The sequence below is a fragment of the Homo sapiens genome, chromosome Y (assembly GCF_000001405.40).
Source record: "Homo sapiens chromosome Y, GRCh38.p14 Primary Assembly".
NCBI lineage: Eukaryota > Metazoa > Chordata > Mammalia > Primates > Hominidae > Homo > Homo sapiens.
In genome coordinates this window covers 26193657-26214786 of record NC_000024.10, presented here as the reverse complement: position 1 = coordinate 26214786, position 21130 = coordinate 26193657, and the positions used below count along the sequence as shown (strand labels likewise).

Sequence of the window (21130 nt, the reverse complement as noted above, 5' to 3'; positions counted from 1 at the left end):
GGACAGCTGTAGGGTGTGGTGTGTTGGGTTGTCCTGCTATGTTGTTTGACAAACCAGTGGCTTCCAGGGACTGTTTAGTGCAAAGCAGTGTCATTGAGTGACTTCTCAGAAGTTCAAGGATTCATTATCCATTTTGTAGATTATTGGACCTTTGGTTCTCTTCCTCCTCTTGTCTGTCTTGAAGATTTTGTGGTTCTTTAACCCTTCAGAAAGGGAAATAATTAAGTACATTTAAATCAATTGAATTTTTATTTGCCAGAGTTCTTAAAAAAAAAAAAAAAAGAAGGGATAGGAGGGTAAAGGTCATCTACAGTAAAAAGTAAATGTCAAACACAGACATAAGCACTTTTTGTTGTTTGATTTGTTTACAATGACCAAGCTTACTGGTTGTATCTATAAAACTCCTTTTGAGACCTCAGAGTACCTACTTTTTTTTTTTTTAACCAGCATCCTAGGGACTAGGATGGGACTTTCTCCCATCTCCCTTACTCTTCTACTTTCACTAGCAACCTAGGAGAAACTGAGGAAGTCTCCTGAGTTTTAATATTTGTAGTTGCAGCATTCACTCAGGGCAAGGTTGGGAGTTTGTGAACGAAGGAAATTAATAGAATGAATGTTGAGATCCAGAGAGGCCAAATGTCACATAGAAAGTCTGTGATAGTCACTCCTAGAACACAAGCTTGGCTAGTTAGTTGGGCGGGGAGTTGGGGGCAGTTTTTGATCATTTTACATTTTGCTAACTTCTAGTTTAAAAAGATGCTATCCCTAATGCCTCAAATCTAGTGAGTCATGGCATACAAAGAAGTGTGAACTAGGGCTAAGTCACCTTTGTGTAGTCAATTTGATTGCTTTTCTTAAATGGCACCCCCACCTCCAGCTGTGAAGTTCAGCCATCTGATTTCAAAAGTGCATTTATAGATGGAAATAATACAAATCAGTCTCTTGCTAATGCTGTTTTCTTTTCTTTTTTCTTTTTTTGTTTTTGTTTTTGTCTCCTTTCTCTAGCATGAAAGACTTTCTAAGTAAGAACTCTCCCTGTTATATATGCATGCTTAATACTTGTAAGTGAATGCATGTCTAATTAAACTTAGCTTTATATAATAATTCAGTAATGTTTCTCACATCCTTTCCGTCATTTTCATTTCCACTGCCACCACAATAATTCAGACTTTTATTACCTCCTGCCCAAAACAGTGGAACAAGCTTTTCAATTTACCTTCCTGTTTCCAGATTCTCCTCTTTCCAGTTCACCTTGTAGACTTCCACTAGATTAATTTTTTTAAAGCACCAGTGTACCAGGCACCATGCTCGGTATTAGGGAAACAACATGAATAAGACAGTATCCTTACCTTCAATTAGCTAACAAGCCACTAGAGAGACAGATCATTTCAGCAGAACATAATAAGTGCCCATCAGAAGTACAGACAGGTATTCTGAGCACAGAGAAGAGCAATTAATCTAATCTGATGGTTCAGATTGAGGTTAGATACTGTTATTTAATAGTGGATCCAACAAAATACCTTATACCTAGATGATGCTCCTTAGTAGTTTGTTGAATGAACAAACTAAAGACCTGTTTTGCAATTGCTGAAAAATTAAAGAAGGACATCAAAATTGGGGGAATGACCCTCTGCAGTTTTTCACCTCGTATCTAAGGGTACAAAACTGATCTTCTGAAAGAAGAAACTAAATAAAAAATAATAGACTATAGAGCCAAAAGTTGGAATCTTTCTTTTTCTACTGTTACTCTGATGAAATTAAGAGATTTTCTACTGTTACTCTGATGAAATTAAGAAATTAAGAGATTGGGAGAAGACATAGTTATGGGACTATAGGCCAAATGAGTTTCCTTATAATTTGTTTAGTATTGAGCTGGTTCTGCCTTATTAATATATTCTAAATTTTACATATGTTCTTCCTCTGCTTGCCCTCTCACCAGGCAGCAGCTGAGGACAAATCATTTACTTCTAACCTAGCAGAAAATTACTTAGTTTTGCAAAATTGTTGGAGAGTGGTATTTTGCCATAATCTTTTGTGAACTCTCTTGTATTATAATAGCCATTTGTGAAAGGAAACTTTTTCCCACAGACTTCAAAATATGCTGTGAAACTGTACCAATTAAAAGAGTGAAGCACTAGCTCAAGAATAAACAAAGAGGCCTATGGAACACAATCCATAGCCCCTCCAAAAAATCACATGTATAAGGTGACTTCATCTCAGTGAGGAAATAATTATTCAATAAGTGATCATTAGGACAGTTGATTATCTGTTTGAGCAATTATATCCTTCCCTTCAGCCATACCAAAAACAAATGGATTTCAGTTGGATTACAATTTGTAAGAGAAAAGTGTTTTACCATAAAAGTTAGCAGAAGAGAATATTTTGTAATCTTTATATAGGAAAAGCCTTTCCAAGTGTGATACCGTTAGTAGAAAGGGGTCCTGATTCAGACCCCAAGAGAGGGTTCTTGGATCTCATGCAATAAAGAGTTCAGGGAGAGTCCATAAAGTGAAAGCAAGTTTATTAAGAAAGTAAAGGAATAAAAGAATAGCTACTCCATAGACAAAGAAGCTGGTTGCCCATTTTTTTTGGTTATTTCTTGTTTATATGCTAAACAAGAGGTGGATTATTCATGCCTGCCCTTTTTAGACCATATGTTGTAACTTCCTGACTTTGCCATGGCGTTTGTAAACTGTTATGGTGTTGGTGGGAGTGTAGCAGTGAGGATGAGCAGAGGACACTCTCACGGCCATCTTGGTTTTGTGGGTTTTAGCCAGCTTCTTCACTGCAACCTGCTTTATCAGCAAGGTCTTTATGACCTGTATCTTGTGCCAACCTCCTATCTCATTCAGTGACTTAAAATGCCTTAATCGTCTGGGAATGCAGCCCAGTAGGTCTCAGCCTCATTTTACCCAGCCCCTATTCAAGATGAAGTTTCTCTGGTTCAAATGTCTCTGACAATACCATAAAGATAAAAATCATCAAATTTAATTATATAAAATTTAAAATCTCTAAGTAAAAGACACTATAAACAGAGACAGAAAGTGAAGTGGGAAAAAATATTTGCTGCCTATATTAGTTTTAAAAGCCCTACTCTATAGGAGGTTCCCCTACTACAATAAGAAAAAGATGATTACCCTACTGAACAAAGGCTATTAATTGGCAATTCAGAAACAAAGAAAAGAAAAATAACCAAAGATATTGATTGTTCATAATGATTTTAAAATATTAAAATTAATGACAGATATCATATTTCTGTCAGAAATATTTCATAAGAAGGTAACTGGACAAAGGCACTAAGGTTTATAGATAAGTCTGCTCATTTTAACATTGTTTAGCTTCAATCATAAATGAGACTGTGGTGACCCTGCAGAATTGACTGTTTGGTGGAGACAAGTAAACCTTAAGATTCTTAGAAACAGGAAATTTTACCTTGGGACAGGATCGACCAGACTCTAGAGAGGTACTTTTTAAAAATGGCCTTTAGGCCAGGCATGGTGGCTCACGCCTGCAATTCTAGCACTTTGGGGGGCTGAGGCGGGTGGATGACCTGAGGTCAGGAGTTCGAGACCAGCCTGACCAACATGATGAAATGCTGTCTCTACTAAAAATACAAAAATTAGCTGGGCTCGGTGGTGTGCACCTCTAATCCCAGCTACTCGGGAGGCTGAGACAGGAGAATTGCTTGAACCCAGGAGGTGGAGGTTGCAGTGAGCCGAGGTCACGCCACTGCACTCCAGCCTGGGCGACAGAGCGAGTCTCTGTCTCAAAAAAAAAAAAAAAGGCCTGAAGATCAGAGATTTATTGCTCCTGCTAACTTCCTTTTCCAAAAATTTGAGCTTCAGGCTCTCTAATCAACGATAATAGAAGAAGTCATCTAACCTGCTTGGTGTTTCCAAAAATGTATTATGGTCATGCCAGTATATTGTGGCTTATAGCATTGCTCAAAAAAAGACAGACTCAACTTTTAGATGAGATCAGGGAAACAAGTGAGTCAAAACCTGTTGAACACTAGCAAAGCCTTTCCTTTTCATTTGATGTATTGTGTGTATTAAGACACCTTTTTTAGGCTGGGCACAGTGTAATCCCAGCACTTTGGGAGGCGGAGACAGAAGGATTGCTTGAGCCCAGGAGTTCAAGACCAGCCTGGGCAACATAGTGAGACCTCATCTCTACAAAAAATTTTTACAAATTAGCTGGGCCTGGTGGCATACACCTGTAGCCCCAGCTACTCAGGAGGCTGAGGCAGGAGCATCACTTGAGTCTGGGAGGTTGAGGCTGTAGTGAGCCATGATTGCACCACTGCATTCTAGCCTGGGCAACAGAGTAAGTCCCAGCCACTCAGGAGGCTGAGGCAGGAGCATCACTTGAGTCTGGGAGGTCGAGGCTGTAGTGAGCCATGATTGCACCACTGCATTCTAGCCTGGGCAACAGAGTAAGACCCTGTCTCAAAAAAAAAAAAAAAAAACACGATATTTTCTTACAGAAGACAGTAAAACCTAGGTGAAATCATTTTGTTTAAGTTACTTTTACTGTGAAGAGTGACATGAATTTCGTATGAGATGTAATTAGCAGATTAACATTTTTATGTTTTTCTGAGAAAGAGATGAAAATACTTCACTGTGTTATGTCCGTAATCTGGAACAATCATTTTACTGAGGAATGCTGTTACTGTTCTGAACTTCACATCAAGTTCCAGATTTTCATTCTCCCACATAGGAGTTTTTTAAATTTCAAAAGATGGCAGTGGGGCTGAGCGCAGTGGCTCATGACTGTAATCCCAGCACTTTGAGAGGCTGAGGCAGCGGGAGGATTGCTTGAGCAATGTGGAGACCCACCTGGGTAACATAGTGAGACTGTGTCTCTACAAAACAGTAAAAAATTAGCTGGGAGTGTGATGAGACCGTAGTCCCAGCTACTCAGGAGGCTGAGGTAGAAGAATCCCTAGAGCTCAGGAGGGCAAGCCTGCAGTAAGCCCTTTCACATCATAGCACTCCAGCCTGTGCAGCAGAGCAAAATCCTATCTCCACCCCTCCCCCGCCACAAAAAAAAGTCAGTGCTAGAACTTAATACAGACAAATTTGCATTCACAACTACAATTTCTTGGTTGAAGATTAACTGAGAAGGTATTTGTGTGATATAAATTGATCAGAATGGAGGTTTTAGAGCAGTTAGAAATCTGCTGTAAGGATTAAATGATGTGTGTAGGTTACAGTACTGTCTGTATTTATCTTTGATTTAGACTCAGCTATTGGGCAGTAAGAATTTCTTAGCAACTGAGGAATCTCTCAGAGTTACCACAGATTGCTTGTTTAGGGTGTACGCACATCTAAATCATGGGAAAGGAACAAAATATGTTAACTCTTTTTTTTACTATTATTATTATACTTTAAGTTTTAGGGTACATGTGCACATTGTGCAGGTTTGTTACATATGTATCCATGTGCCATGTTGGTATGCTGCACCCATTAACTCGTCATTTAGCATTAGGTAGATCAGCACTTTGGGAGGCCAAGGCAGGGGGATAGCTTGAGCCCAAGAGTTTGAGACTAGCCTGGGCAACATAGTGAGGCCCTTTCTATGCAAAATGAATGAATGAATGAGGCATTATGGTCACCGTTACTAGATTTGATTGACTGTGCCTTTACTTTTCAGTAAATAATACATAGACTTTCCTGACCTAAGCTTTATGATGATCTCAGGTTGTGATATGGGGGTAGGAGGAGGTTAACTCTCTCTATAGCCACTGCTTTCCTTAAAATCATTGCTTTTTATTAAAGTGTCTTAACATGGCATTTTAAAAAGCAACCTTGGCCAAGCATGGTGGCTCATGCCTGTAATCCTGACACTTTGGGTGGCTGAGGTGGGAGGATTGCTTGAGCCCAGGAGTTGGAGACCAGCCAAAAAAAAAAGCAATGCTTTACACTCCAGTCATTGAGAGCATCAAAAATTATTTTCCAACCACTGCCATGTCAAATGTAATTTAAGAAAGCACCCCTCTTCCCTGAAGAAAATGCAATTTGGTTTACTTTATTCCATCTCTGATTAGTGGCATTGGTTTTGTTTACAATTAGAAAATAAAATGTGTTTAGGGTACAATGTAATGGCAAATTGTCTGTAAGAGGTTAGTTTTCTTTCTCTTTTTGATGAGCTGAAAAGGTCATTGTAGTAGCATATTCAAGCTAGTCATCTTTGCGTATTTCATTTATTTCCTCACAAAATATTTATTACAAATATAGTAGCACGTTTCTCTTTTTTGAAGACATGTGAGCATCTATCTGAATAAGATACTCAATATTTCATCTTGATGTGTGATCTCGAGCAAGCGGTTTCTTTTATCTAAATGTCTTCATCTGAATATGGATAATCCCTTGGAATCCTCCCTTCTTCTTCAGGGACTCTGAAGAAAATAATTTAGGCTTCATCAGATTCTTTAAATTATTAGAAAAATAATCAGAAAGAACCAAAGGGCTGTTTTCCTTTAGCCTAAAGATATTTGCAATTTAATATCATCTTTTGGAAAAAAATTTACGATAAAAGATATATGTTTTGTCACTTATTTATGCAGTGGCTTTATGGGCCTTGTCTTTGTTCCTTAAAGGTAAATGCCATTGTTTTAAAATTTCTTTTTCTTTTAGAGACTGTGTGTATATCGCGAGTCGGAGGCCAAACACACCGTATTTCATCTGTAGCATTCAAGACTTCAAACTGGTAAGCATTTTTAACGTGCTGTTCGCTCTGCTCTGTATTCTCTCTTTTTCCAGTTCCATTGGCTATCTCTTATTGTTACTCCATTGCTGTTGACGTGGTTACCAGTTCACCTTTTGAGTGCTAACTGTCTCGTGGCAGTAGCACTGAAACGAGGGTTACTAGTTCCATCTTTTCAGCTTTGTAACACTTACTCTCATAATGCTTATATTGTAAACAATATTTCTGAAGTTTTTATCCCTTTAGTAACTGTTTTGACAATTTCAGATAGTCCCTTGAATTTCTGAAGTAGGTTGTTTCTTCTTAGCCATTGTTAAGAGCCTAAAGTAAAGTAAATTCAGTAAATTGATGAGTAGGGGAAATAATATAAATGGGTCAGAGAATAGTTTCCAGTGGAAATCTGTCACTTCCTTCAATATTTCGGTAGGTGTGGAGTATATGTTGAAATTGTTGTGGGGGTTTCCCGGGGTAGCGGTTGAAAGAAGTCTGGCTTGGGCATGGTAAAGCTGTTGTACTTTCTTTCCAGTTTTAGTGCATGTGTTGCAGAACTGAGGACATAGCTGCTGTACTTTCTCGTTAAAAATTCTTCCTGAATATATAAGTGTTGATGTTCCTCATTATGAAATCGCTTTTTTAGGGCCAGTGGTTCTCATATTTTAGGCTTTGGATCCCTGGATGTCTGCAGAGATTTGGCAGAGGTCTGCAAATAAACATGCTAAGCTTGATGTAAATGAATTGATCTCACATGTCTGGACAATGATTTTTCAGCCTGTTTTCAGTATGCTTTTATGATTTTTAAAAATTTCACTTATTTAAAAGCAATACACAGTTAAGAACCACTATTTGTTGTTGTTGTTGTTGTTTGAGACAGAGTCTTGCTCTGTCACCCAGGCTGGAGTGCAGTGGTGCAGTCTTGGCTCACCGCAGCCTCTGCCTCCCGGAAACAAGTGATTCTCCTGCCTCAGCCTCCCGAGTAACTGGGATTACAGGTGCATGCCAGTACAACCAGCTGTTATTTTTATATTTTGTATTTTTAGCAGAGAACAGGGTTTGTATTTTTAGCAGAGAACAGGGTTTCACCATGTTGGCCAGGCTCGTCTCCAACTTCTGACCTCAAGTGATTTGCCTGCTTTGGCCTCCCAAAGTGCTGGGATTACAAACGTGAGCTACCATGCCTGGCAGGAACCACTGTTTGTTTGTTATTTTCCTCAAACAATTGGTATTTGAAATACTACTGAAGTAGTATCATTTGGGAGTCTTTTGAAACATTTTGATCTTACAAGGGACCCTAGTACTTTGAAGATTGTGAACCACTGTCTGTACTCTTAAGGGTAGAGAATTCCTAATTCCTTAGCTTTGTAGAGATGTGTATCACTATCTGTGAATGCTCTTATTTCCAACACCCTTTGTAATTTGACAATATTTGTTTTGACTATGTTGTATGTGATATTTCAGTCTAAAGAAATGTAGTTTGAAAAGATCTTTCTCTGCATCTCCTTTGTTTTTTATCATTTTTAATGGCCCAAGTACCAAATTAGTATATTCAGTAAAAAAAAAAAAGTCACATTATTTTTCTTTGTTAAAAAGTTATTGCTTAAGTTATTGCATGCCTACTGTTTTAAGATGAAGTCAAATGTGCTATTTACTTATAAGATGGATCTATTCTTGATAGGTGACTTTTAACTTTCCTGGTTGCATTGCAAGGCGGCCTTGCAGTTTAATCTTGTAAATCAAATGCTTTCTATCCAATTTTTATGTCTATATGAATTTTTTAAAACCATTTTTAGAGGTCTTTGCTACTTATTATATCTTTCCTTCCAAAGTGTTTTTTTTTTTTTTTTTAACAGATACAGCACTGACACCTGAAATACGGGTATAGCCTTATTCCTGAAGAGTTTTGTTTTGGTAGTGGCTGCTGCTACTGCCCTTTTCCTGCCCATTGTCTTTGTGTGTGATTTTCACAAAACCAAACATCAGTGCACCATGAAAAATATATAGCTGTGAAATAAAATTGTAAATATTTTTATTTTACCTATTAGATCTTGAGCCCCCTTTGTACAGTTTTTGCACATTAACAGGTGCCTTCCTGTTTGAACAGCATCTCTTATGAAATGCTGATTACAATGTGATAGTTGCTGTTCTGGGCAGAGGTTCCTGCTGAGTTACGGTAATTGCTCAGGGTGTTAACAGCAATAGAAGCTGAAGCTTCTGTTGTCAGTATTGGTCTAATACAACACATTAAAGCTATCTACAAAAATATGTGGGAAGTAGGGTGCAGTATGTTTAGATACCTTTTTCTAAATCACACACTGCTGTTTCTCATGTTTTTGTTTGAGGTTCTGTATTCAGCACATCCTCATAGTTGTTGTGTAAGAACAACAGATGATGAAATATTTGCTCTGGGAATAAATATAGTTATTTCCACTGTCTTATTTTCTTACTTCTCTGTACTTATTAAAAGATAATCAAATAGATGAGAATGATCAAGATTTTTTTCTCCTTCAGTTTACTGAAGCTGTAAGGGAAAAAGATGAGCAGAAGGAAATAAGCTTTGTTTCTCTGTGAGATTTTAAAAAGAAGAAGAAATTGAATTTGATTTTGCTCACAGCAAATAACATGACTAGTGGAGCAATGAAAGAAAAAAAAACCCGATAGCTTTGAAATGTTGAGTAATTAGGTATTTTATCTTTTTAATAATCACAAAATAAAAAGTTGGTTTGGGGTTATAATTGAGAGACGTGTTTCATTGTTTATACTATAAATGAGAATCCCTTTGCCGTGGTGAAATTTTGTGTATAAAGTATGTTTGGGCACTGTAAAAATAACTGGGTGAATGCCCTTTATGATACACATTAGTAGGTATGATTACGATGTTAAAGACAACAAAAGCTAATGAGGTGAGGCGTGGGGAGGAGGAGACATGTACCGCCAGTCACTGAGACTAGAATAATGGCAGCTTATTGAACCGAGGGCCTTAGGTCACATTTCATGAAATAGCTCTATATGAGATAAGGAGAAGGGTCTTTGTGTTTTATGTGGGGACCTGGGTTGTCTTCTCAACTCTGCTGCTGCATTCCCTTAGAATCGAGTCTGTGGTATAGAACACAGCTGCCTCTATGTCCTGATCCCTGTCTGTTGTCCTGCCAGACTATTAAACAGCCTCCCCTTTCACTCTCAAAAATGTCTGAGTGTGGATGATAGGTTGTGAGGTTGTGTGGTTATCTTGCCTACGGGGATAGGGTCCATGGCTTCTGCTTTATTAATATTCAACCATCAAAACACACAGGGACACCACCATCCTACACTAGTAGGTGTATTTTGAGCCCGTACTTCCACAGGGTACGTGGAGGCTATGATAGTATCAAGCAACTAAGTTCCTAACTGAGCTGAGGTTTTAAAGGTAGGAATTATGTATTCTATTAGGAAGCTTTCATTCTCTTAGGAAGTATTCATTTGATTGGGCTTATTTACAAACGGAGATGTCTGATTTTGTTTAAATGCGCTGACCAAAGTATTTATGGAACAACTAGTCAAAAGCAGGAGCTCAGGTGAGCAGAAGAGGCTGGGTAGAATTATGGACAGTGCATACTTAGAAGCAGGAGAAAGAAGTATTGTTGATTAAAAAGGTCGCTTTGCACCGTAGATTTCTGAACTATATAGTAAAATAGCTGGCAAAGTCTTTATTTAGCTTTTTGAAGGACTAATAATTTGGAATGGCAGTCTGTGATCCTTGTGGCCTGGCATGAAAAGATTAATTGAGCCAAATTTCATTTTTAGAATTTAGAGTTGAGAAACTGAGAGACTGAGGCAGTTAGTAGAGGGGAAAGGTGAATGGATAATTCAAGAATTACCCCTAATATATCTGTAAAAATTAAAAATAAAAAAAGAATTACCTGAATGACAAGAGCAAGGTTAGGGCTGACATAGGCAAGCTCACTTGCTAGGGTAGGAAACTGGGAAAAGCAGAGGACAGGGAAGCTGTGGGAAGGGCAGCAGACTGCCAAGGGAAGTGTGTGCACAGCCGTCTCTTCCTTGACTCCCCTGGGTCCCACTGCACTGATGTTCTTCCCACAGGATTCTTAGATTATCCTGTTCGCTCTGAGTAGAGAGCTCTCATCTGGGCTAGCTTGAGTGGATCTTCATCAATTGCAATGGAAAGAGCCTAGGTTAACATCTCCAACCCTTCTGCTGCCCTCCCATAGCTTTTATAGGTCACCATGTGACTTAGTTACTTTGAGGGTTTTGTTCTGAATAAGTCAATATCATTGAGGAGCATTATATCACAGAGTGCAAATAGGAATGTTTTGGGCTATAATCAGGGGCATTTACTGAATACCTACTTTGTGTTCTTTATGGAACTCAGCACCTAAAGGGAGACTGAAGAAGTATAAAATATTGTTCATTCTCTCAGTGATCTTAGATTCTAAGTGACAGACAACTTGTGGCATTATTGGATGTCAGTCTTCTTTGGAGAACATTCTGAATAGGATTGACAAGAAGGGCATTCACTTTTAGTTCTAAAAGAAATGATTTCTTTTGTGTGTTTATGAAAAACAATAAAATCATATTTTTATAGAAACCCAGGCATTAAGAAGTATAATACAAATAATTTGCCATCTGGAAATAATCATGGAGTCTGAGAATGCTAACAAGGTCATGGAGACAGTAATTTTCATTCAGTATAACACTGAGGAGTTCCTTGTATAGTAAGTGGTTCCTTGTAGCAGTTAGTACCTTTCTTTATTCACAGATAAGTAAGCAAACTCACTCCTGTAATATTCTCCATGGAAATTCAGTGTGTATTCTTGCATTGCCGTCATTCATACAGTAGAGGAAAACGTGCTTTTGGTTTCCTAAAGTTACATAGGTGTTTCAGCTGTTACTTATACCAAATGAGTTTCTAGGTAGTATATGTAGCTATAAGTACTATTTTGGGTTAATAACATTGATTCATTTTGGTTCCTCAGCTGTTTTATTAAAACTTGGAAAATTGTCCTTAAAGTTAAGCCAGATAACAGAGATTCCTTAGAGTTGGGGGTGATAGGGATGTTAAAGTGTTTCAGGTGATGGTTAGCTGGGCTCGACATATTGTTATGGCTCCACATAGATGATAATGTCGCTGTATCATTTGTGTCCCTAACAGCCTACTTTCTAAGTGCTAGTTCTGAATGTGGAATAGCTAAGGATGCATACTACTAGTTACCTTGGAGAATGCACAATTCCATTATTGCTGTGAATGTGGGGGCCAAGTTATTTATCGTTTAATACCATATCCCTCTCATTGTTTCATTGTCAAATGTGACCAGCTGGAGGAAAAACACCTGGAATTTCTCTCTGATTCCTGGTCTGTACTCATAAGTTGTTTGCTACTCACTACCCTTTATTCATGCCTTCCCCGACAGTACAGCAGCAGAAGGGCTGAAGAGAAATTAACTTCATCTTAGGTTCCACTTGCCATTGAGATTGCCCACCCTCCACCAAATTTATTTTCCTAAAAATGGATTAAAAGTAACAAGAAGCTATTTCTCCTCCTTTTTAATAAAAACTTACTGAGGATGAGTAATTATGTCTTCTTTTCTTATTAGAACCATAGATGATGCTGGGAGATATCAGATAGCGACTTAATTACCCATACCTTTTGTGCACACATTCAAGTGTACACACAGTGACTTAATTATCAGACTTACACATTATCTACCGCATTTCTTTAATCCCAGCGTGGCTGTTACCACTTAACACAGAAGGCGTACTGTATGGACATTCATGGAATGGGCATTCGTTTAAAAGGAGGTAAATCTTGCATTGGAGCCCTTTTTTGGTTGCGGGGGGTGGGCAGGAAGGTCCACATAATTTGAACATGGCTAATTCAGAATTTAGGATCTGTTATTCTGGGATTGAGATGAGGGATGGTAGATTGCCCAGGTTCAGAGCTCGGACTTCGACATCAGGTTGTCTGAGTTCACGTACTCCGTCCATCAGTTGCCATCTTTCCTGACCTTGGGAAATACACTTAACCCTCTTAACTTTCTTTAGTTACCTGTGAAGTTGGGATATAAAGTACCTACCTTGCCAAGTAGATTGTTTTTAGATTAAAAGGTCAAACTTACAAAGTGTCCAGTGCCCCATAGAGTGACACTGATTGTGATGTTGTTGTTTAGTTGGTACCTTAGGTTTATGCTTTTTATTCACTGATGTATATATTGTGTGCTTATCACATTGGCTGGCTGTATTGTCCACAGTAAGTATTTAGTGAATACTGAATGAAGTAACATTTAAGTGGAATAAATTCACTGGATAAGTATTTTTAAAAAACTTTAGTAATAGTTGTTTGATACAGTGCATCAACAACAAATTAACATTCTCTTAAACAAGCCAAAGAAGTCTACTCAATTACCTTTGGTTAGCCTGCAGTGCGTAATGTATAGAACTAATAAAACTTTATTTCTTTTAAAATACTTGAGGAAAATTCAGTTTCTTCTTTTCTTCACGAATTTGAATGAATGTAGCCTAAGTCATAATATTTTTTAGGCATCATTATATTGTTTTGGGTTTTCCATAGGACTGACTTTCAGCAAAGATAAATGAGGGCCTAGTATATGTGTGAACCTCCCAGAAAAGGCCAACTGTTATGAAAAATGCCTTACGCTATGATGATTTGTTTCTGTTTTTGTTTTTGACAGTCCTTCAAGGTAGGCCTGCAAAACTGAGTATTTCTTTCTATAACTCCTTCTTCTCTTTACTTTCTTGGCTTGTACCATACAAAAAGGTCAGTATCACCCAGTTACGCCTTTGTGACTTGTTGTGTAGTGTCGGACAATGAAGTAAAAACTTTACATTGAAGTTCATTATCAAGTATTTTCAGCTATTATATCCAAGGACCAAGTGGCCTTTTCACATATAAATTTGCGATTTCTAATTTTGTTTAATTCTTTAACGAGGCAAGAGGCGGGATGGAATTCTTTTTTGGAGACAGAGTTTCCCTCTTGTCACCCAGGCTGGAGTTCAGTGGCGTGATCTCAGCTCTTTCCAACCTCCGCCTCCGGGTTCAAGCGATTCTCCTGCCTCAGCCTCCCAAGTAGCTGGAATTACGGACACCTGCCACCACCCCCAGCTATGTTTTTGTATTCTTAGTAGAGACGGGGTTTCACTATGTTGGCCAGGCTGGTCTTGAACTCCTGACCTCGTGATCCACCCACCTCGACCTCCCAAAGTGTCAGGATTACAGGCATGAGCCACTGCATCAAGCAAGATGGAATTCTTTAGCCCTGAGTTTGGTGGACTGAGTCAGAGGAGGTTGTATATCTATACTCCCCTCCCGCCACAATTGTAGAGTAATGACATTGAAAGTTTTTTGAACCACCACATCCTTTTTGCATGATACTGATGTCAACCTCTAAATGGACAGGGTGGTATTAACATAAGTGGAAATCAAAATGAGGGCTTGGGAATAAATAATTCCAGCATTTTATTGGCCACATTTTCTGAGCTTCCCAGCAATTTGTCTTCACTTGTGGCTGCCAGTCAGGGTAGGGCACTTGGGATTTTAAGTTTTAGTGTTTAACTACTATTGTGAGGTTGAATAATTCATTTTCTTCTAATTTACTTGGGTCAAGGGACTCTAAGAAACTATTGAAAAAATTTCGTTTAATTATATGTATTTCCATAAAATATATTTCTGAAAATGTTATTTACTAAAACTGTTAACTATACGTGAAATTGTTTTCAATGCAGAAAACTCTATTCTAATTTTAAAGGAGCTTAAGAAAGGTTGAGACAATCTGATATTTGCAGCCATCTACTATGCAAGAATATTGGTAAAGTCTTGTTCAAACTTAATTCTTTTCAATTGGAAATTTGTAATTTGTATGTATATATGGATGCTTGCATTAAGAACCAACTCAGTAGTCCAAGAAAAACCTATTAGAAGTACTAAAAAAACTTAGGGAAACAGATACTGTCAACATTTTCTCATTTGTATGTGAGAACAATGACTTGTTTTGAAAAAAAATGCCTTTTTAAAATGCATAAAATGTTTTAATAATTACTTGAACTATTTGCATGTTTAAGATAATGCCAAAGTGTTTGGAAATGCTTTACCAGGTGTTTTTGATTTAAAACCTTAATTTGAATGTAAGGATTTAGGTGGTTTGGGCAGTCATATTCCTAGTGGAAGAGATTATCCAGAAGTCCATTTTTATTTTGATGCTTCTGGCAAAAAATACTGAATATGCTGTACATTCAAGTGCACAATTGAATCTTTAATTTGGAGTTTGCAGTGTTGGTGATGACGGGGAGAAGGTGTGTGGTGAGAAGGTTGTGGCTACTGACACTCTGTCAGCTATACCATCACTGAGGCCATGAGAATCAGAGACTGACTGCACACAAATTTTAATGTAGATCCTAGGATGTACTCTAGATGGTCATCTTTAGTAAAAGAAAAGAAAATGATCACGATAAAACATTCTGAACATTAGCTTATTCTCCTGGTATTTGTTTTGTGTGTGTGTGTGTGTGTGTGTGTGTGTGTGTGTGTGTATGTGTAGGGAGCTTAAGAGACTTACAAAAATAGTGAATGAAATATATTAAAATCTTTGTTTACAGAAAGTTGTTAATTACTCTTGCTTTTCAAAGGGAATTATATGTAACAGGACACCCTAGTAATGATTTAATATTAAAAGGTTGCTCACCTGTAATTTTTAGACAACCGTAAGACAGGTTCTTATATAAGTATTGGGATTTTATGGATTTTTTTAGTTCATTTGAAACCACATGAAATTGGTTTAAAAAATGTTATGTGCTCTCTAAAATATTTGAAAAGGAACATACGCAAACTGTTATCTGAGGTATACTGTGCTAGCTTTCAGAAGTTGCTCTATAGTCTTTTTCTTCCTGGTTTTTAAATGTTTTCAAAGTTAATTTTAAAAAAGACGTGATACATACTAAACTAGTTTTGCCTATAAAAATAAGTAATGTCTTTCTGGAACTTTATGGTCTGTGCCTGTTCATTATACTCACCTTGTGGGCGTTTGGAGAAAATTACAACTCATGTGAATGTTGTCTTTTTCCCTCTGTTTTGGGGCCTTTGTCTATTTACTTTGCCTTCAGCTTTATGCAGTTAAACTTGAACTTTCAGAAAATGGCAGGGCCTTTCACCACCCAAATGCCCTATTTCCTTATTAAGTACATGTCTTATGTCTCTAGCTTCTGTCATTAGAAACTCTTCTGAAAGCTCAGTTTGTCCACTTGTGATTCATTTTACGGTTGTGTTTATCTGACGTCATAGCATTTCTGTTTTTATTATAAGCATAGCATGTTGCTGTTAACTGTGCTTTGGCACTATCTCACATCTTAACTTGGTTATTTTGAGGGGCACACACCATACTGCTTTATGATAGGACCTGGATTAAAGTGTGGAGCCAGAAGGGTCATACGTTTGTTCACACTGAAATAAGGTAACAGCTTTGATTAATGCAAAAAGGTTAACTTAGTGGTAGAACAAATTATCTGAGGTTTCAGAGGTCATCTGCTAAAGAGTTTTTGCAGATACCGACTTGTGTGCTGCGTGCCCCAGGGCATGATGGGGCATTGGGCACGTTAACTTAAAACTGTTTTCTTTTTTAGGTCCACAACTCCCAAGCCTGTTGCAGATCTCCAACTCCTGCTTTGTGTGACCCCCGCAGCATGCTCTCTGCCGGTGGCATCACAGTCACCACAGCATCTTTCTGAAGCTAGGAGAGGGCCTGTAGGGGTAAGGAGAATCCCGTTTTTAAAAGCTATCAGTATTTTATATCCCATAGGGTATAAAATAGGAATATTATGTCCCTCCCCAGAGCCCCTTTTTAAAATGTGCTGTATTATATGTGTTTTTAAAGGAGTAACAAGTACATGCACAGAGGAAGCAAAATACGGGACTTGCCTTACCCCTCTAGGACAGTTCCAGAAGTTAGCGGGGTTTGGTGGAAGGGTATTTTGGCACCAGCAGAGAGCATGCTGGGCTGCTGCAAGGAGCAGGAGCTGGCAATCAACAGCGAGTTTGGATGTTGGCAACTGAAATGGGGAGAAAAGGGGGTAAGTTTGAGTTCAAGTGTGGAATGTGAATTTCCCCAGGCTCATTGGGACTCATGACCCACAAATCTAAACTATTTTGGGTGTTGTCCTCTCGGGTGACATTTTGTAGGGTGTTGCTCAGAAATAGCGAGGCTTTTCTCCAGTGCTAGATGCAGAATACGCACTTCAAGAGGCTTGGGTCGGGCTGTAGCTATACTTCTTAAGAGCTATCCCTTGGTTATTCCTCTGTTACTAGTGGTGGTCCTGAGGGATGTGTAAGAGGCAGCAGGATGAAGTATCTGTAGTGCTTTATCCCTTAAAGCACAGGAACCCATGTGGGTGATCATAGGGGTTATTATTGTGTAGTGCATCTCCCTTTTTAGGAAAGTTCACACTTGTCTTCCTTTTTTTTCCTGTAATCGTAGGACTTAATGGAGGACTTAATGGTAATGTTTTCTGAAAGTCGAGTATTTATTATTCCGAATGACTACTGGGTTAACATGAAAGAAGTGTAGTTTTAGTTAAGCATTGAAGTCAGTGTGAAGAAGTGACTGTGGCTCCCCAGTTCATACTGAATTAGCAAATAATACAAGAGGATAGCAAGCTCTCTCACACTTAGACACACACAATGCAGCATACTGTCAATATACAGTGAATTGTTCAGTTGCAGTGCAGAATATTAATATCTTGGGGTGAAGAAAAGAAAGTGCTCCAGATGGGATGTGGCACTTGGGGAAGTTCTGTGAAGGTGGGTAGGTTTTGAGGAGCTGGGTATGTTTTTCACACATCAATAAGAAGTGGATAGGCAGAGTATAGGAGCCTTGCAGGTGTACCTGGCAGCCTGTCCTTATAAGCAACACAGGCAGTGAGGCTGACGAGTCTGGGAGTTGTGAGAAGATGACCCGCAGGACGTCACTGAAGAGCATGGGTTAGTGGATTTTGGGAGGCAGATGTGGAGATATAAAATGGGGCTAGATTATAGAGAATCTTCAAAGTTAGCAAAGTTAAGATTTTGTGTAATAGGCAGTAGAGAGCTTGTGTAAGCTTTTTTATTCGAGATGAGCCATCTTGCAGACCACTGCTTAAGAAGACTGACTGTGGCAGTTTGCAGTGTGGAAGGGGGAAAGATGGTGAAAGCTCCAAGTAGGAGGCTAGGGCTGCCATTCGTGGGTAAGATGAAGAGGACCAAGACAGTAGAGATGATATATAGATAATTGTAACCAAATCAGGAGTAATTGTTGGAACAGCATAACACATTTACATATTTGCTGATGTAATTACTCAAGGGTCATATCATAAAAAGGGGTGGGGGTTTCACATTATGGAAACCTTGGAATTCTCTGTCTTACGGTGGAAGACAGAACCCAGTGTAGTGTAGACAAAAGTCTAATTTTAATTCCCAGAGAAAGACTGATATCTTATGGGACAAATTAGTATATTCCCATTCCTAATAATGGTGTACCTAGCTGGTGGGTAATTGCAGGCTTTCAACCTCCAGTTCATCTTCATGAGATCAATGTTGATTCAGAACAATAAGTGTCAGGTCTATGACACCTTTAAAGTTATGCTTAAATGTGAGTCTGTGACCACTAATGAATGACTACAGTTGTTTCATGACTTGCTAAACATACCTGGTTTTTCACAAGCAATAGATTTTTGAAGGAGAGGTATTCACAGTGGGTGCTAGGAAGATACACACATTAATTCTGTAGAATTTAGCTAAAATGTGTTCAGCCTAAGGGATGACATTAACAGAGACTTGTGATCCTGCTTTGCATCTCATGAGTGCTGAGCAGTTGGTAGAGATGGATGGTATTTTCCATATATCAGCATCTGCTGTATGCTCAGGCTTTGCTCCTGTTAAGGGAACTAGGGCTCTCTAGCCTTTTCAGAGATTCTGTGAGATTATGTACTTTATTATTATTATTTTGTCTAATCTAATCAGACTAGATTCTTGTATTTCGAACTAAGAACTCAGAATATATCCATGACCTTTGGTTAAAAAGCTTAAAGGGAAAGTAAACTTCATTTATTCGTTGAACAATTTATTTAGTATTTCTTATTTATTAGTGTTCTGTCTCCTGAATAAATAACTCATTTTAAGTGTTTATTGAGCACCAATTGCACATAAACTATTGTATTAGTTTTGTGGGAGAAAAAAATAAATAAACTAAATATCCCTCCCTCAAGGAATGTTTGTAAAGTTGATTAACTATGCTAGAAAATAGAAAGTGAATGGTGCTATGAGATACAGAGGTATAGTAGTAGTATGAAGGTTGAATGGAGAAAGAGATTAAATACAGCAGAAGACAATTATTTCTATCAGAGAAGAGATGACATAGGAGATGAAGAAGAAAGATTTAAAATGATTTTTACAGAAAGATGAAGAGATACATAACTCTTGAGTAGAGAAGGCAAGAAGAAGAGAAACTGTATGGACAGTATGAGCTAAATGTGAAAACAGAATTTTTTTTGGCTGGGTGCGGTGGCTCATGCCTGTAATCCTAGCACTTTGGGAGGCCGAGGCAGGTGGATCACCTGAGGTCAGGAGTTTGAGAAAAGCATGGCCAAAATGGGGAAACCCCATCTCTACTACAAATAGAAAAATTAGCCGGGTGTGGTGGCACATGCCTGTAATCCCAACTACTCGGGAGGCTGAGGCAGGAGAGTTGCTTGAACCTGGGAGGTGGAGGTTGTGGTGAGCCGAGATTGTACCAGTGCACTCCAGCCTGCACCATGGGATCGAAACTCCATTTAAAAAAAAAAATCTGTGCACAAAGAAATGGGCAATGCATTGACTCGGTGCAAAATATCATAGATGAGGTAGTGAACATGTTTAGGAATATATTCACATTTTCAAGAAGACAGCTAGTTTCCCTATTGAAATCCCTGGCATACAGGAGCAAACAGCATGAAATAAAGAAAAGTTCTATGTTTTTAGAAATAGGTATCCAACTAATACACATAAAAATTGTCTTTATGGAGTAAAATGCATATTTAATCAATCTAATCAAACACAACCTCAGCTAAATTCTTCTCTAAGATATAGACACACCTGCTAAGCAAAAGGGATAAGATATCTTGTCTCTAGGAAACAACAGAAGTTAATTAGCTTCAAAAATACTTTATATTTGCAATTAAAAATAATTTTAAATCCACAGTAGCTATGGTTCTCATTAGAACATAGAATATTGTGATGCCTTGGACTATTTTATTAAAAATGGCTATATTTGGTCCTTATCTCAAACTTTGTGTTCAGGTATATAGCTGATTAATAATGTAGTTTATTAAGAAATATTTTTTGCATATTACTGTGAAATCATAGTGTATGAAATGGACTAATAAAGCCTATAATGACCAGGAAAATATTACTTACTGCAAAGATAATATAAAGTTCAGTTCTTTTATCTATAGTTTTATTGTTAAGTTACATATATAGATAAATGATAGACAGACATCAACACACACATGACTGTTTACAAATTACGGAGGTTACAAATCTAAAACACGTGATTTTTATCTCAAAATAATAAAGATTAAAATGTTAGCAATGTTCATCCATTGGTCAAAACTTTGCATTCTTGTCTTGGATTCTTGCTTATATTCATCAATTTTAATCTGGATCTAAACACTTAAATAAATGAAAATAACATATTAAATAAATTTGTTTATGCACTGCACTTCATTTCTAACGATTTCTCATGAGATAGTGGAATGCATGATGACATATAATTTATGATATTGTTCTAGTGTTTCCATGCCCAAATTAAAGTCAATAAAATTTTATAATAGAAATACCCAAAATGAAGAATGATGATGAATTGAGCACTGATATTAAAAAGATTAAAAATGGTGCAACTTTTTATAAGCAAATTAGATCTATGTTTTAAGAACTTTATATGAAGTCTTACATGTATCTGCATTATACTCAGAGGTATAAATAAATCGTTAACTTCTTTATTATGTCTTCAAGTTACCTGATGTTCCTCCTGAGCATCTCGAACCTCAAGATAGGGAAAAATTGTATTCAATAAATCAAGTAAATACATAACAATGACTGTGTATTAACAAAAAATTAAAAATAAAAAAGAAATCAAGTTGTCTTAGTTCAATGCAATAACAAAAATAGTCACTTAAGCACAACACTCAAATGCTGAGTTTTCTCATTTCACTTCTTTCTTTTCTTATCCAAGATGGTATCTCATGTATGAGATGAACTTTACTAATAATACAGGCAAATGGGGAGATGTTGGTTGAGAGTGTATTGAATCTATAGGTAAATTTAGGAAAATTTTAAATCTTAAAAATATTGCTTTTAATCTGTGAACATGTTATATTTCTCCTATTATTAAATAATTTTTAATTTATCTCAATC

At 37.6% G+C, this 21130-nt stretch overlaps 1 pseudogene across 1 annotated transcript in view; it reads left to right on the top strand.

The window, feature by feature from the left end:
* The window catches only part of REREP2Y (arginine-glutamic acid dipeptide repeats pseudogene 2 Y-linked), a 41507-nt pseudogene extending 20588 nt beyond the window's left edge, over positions 1–20919 (top strand). The window contains exons 2-3 of the transcript XR_938673.3: positions 6639–6711; positions 16330–20919. The product of XR_938673.3 is annotated as an arginine-glutamic acid dipeptide repeats pseudogene 2 Y-linked (transcript). The remainder of the gene's footprint in view (positions 1–6638; positions 6712–16329) is intronic.
* The last annotated feature ends 211 nt before the right edge of the window (positions 20920–21130 follow it).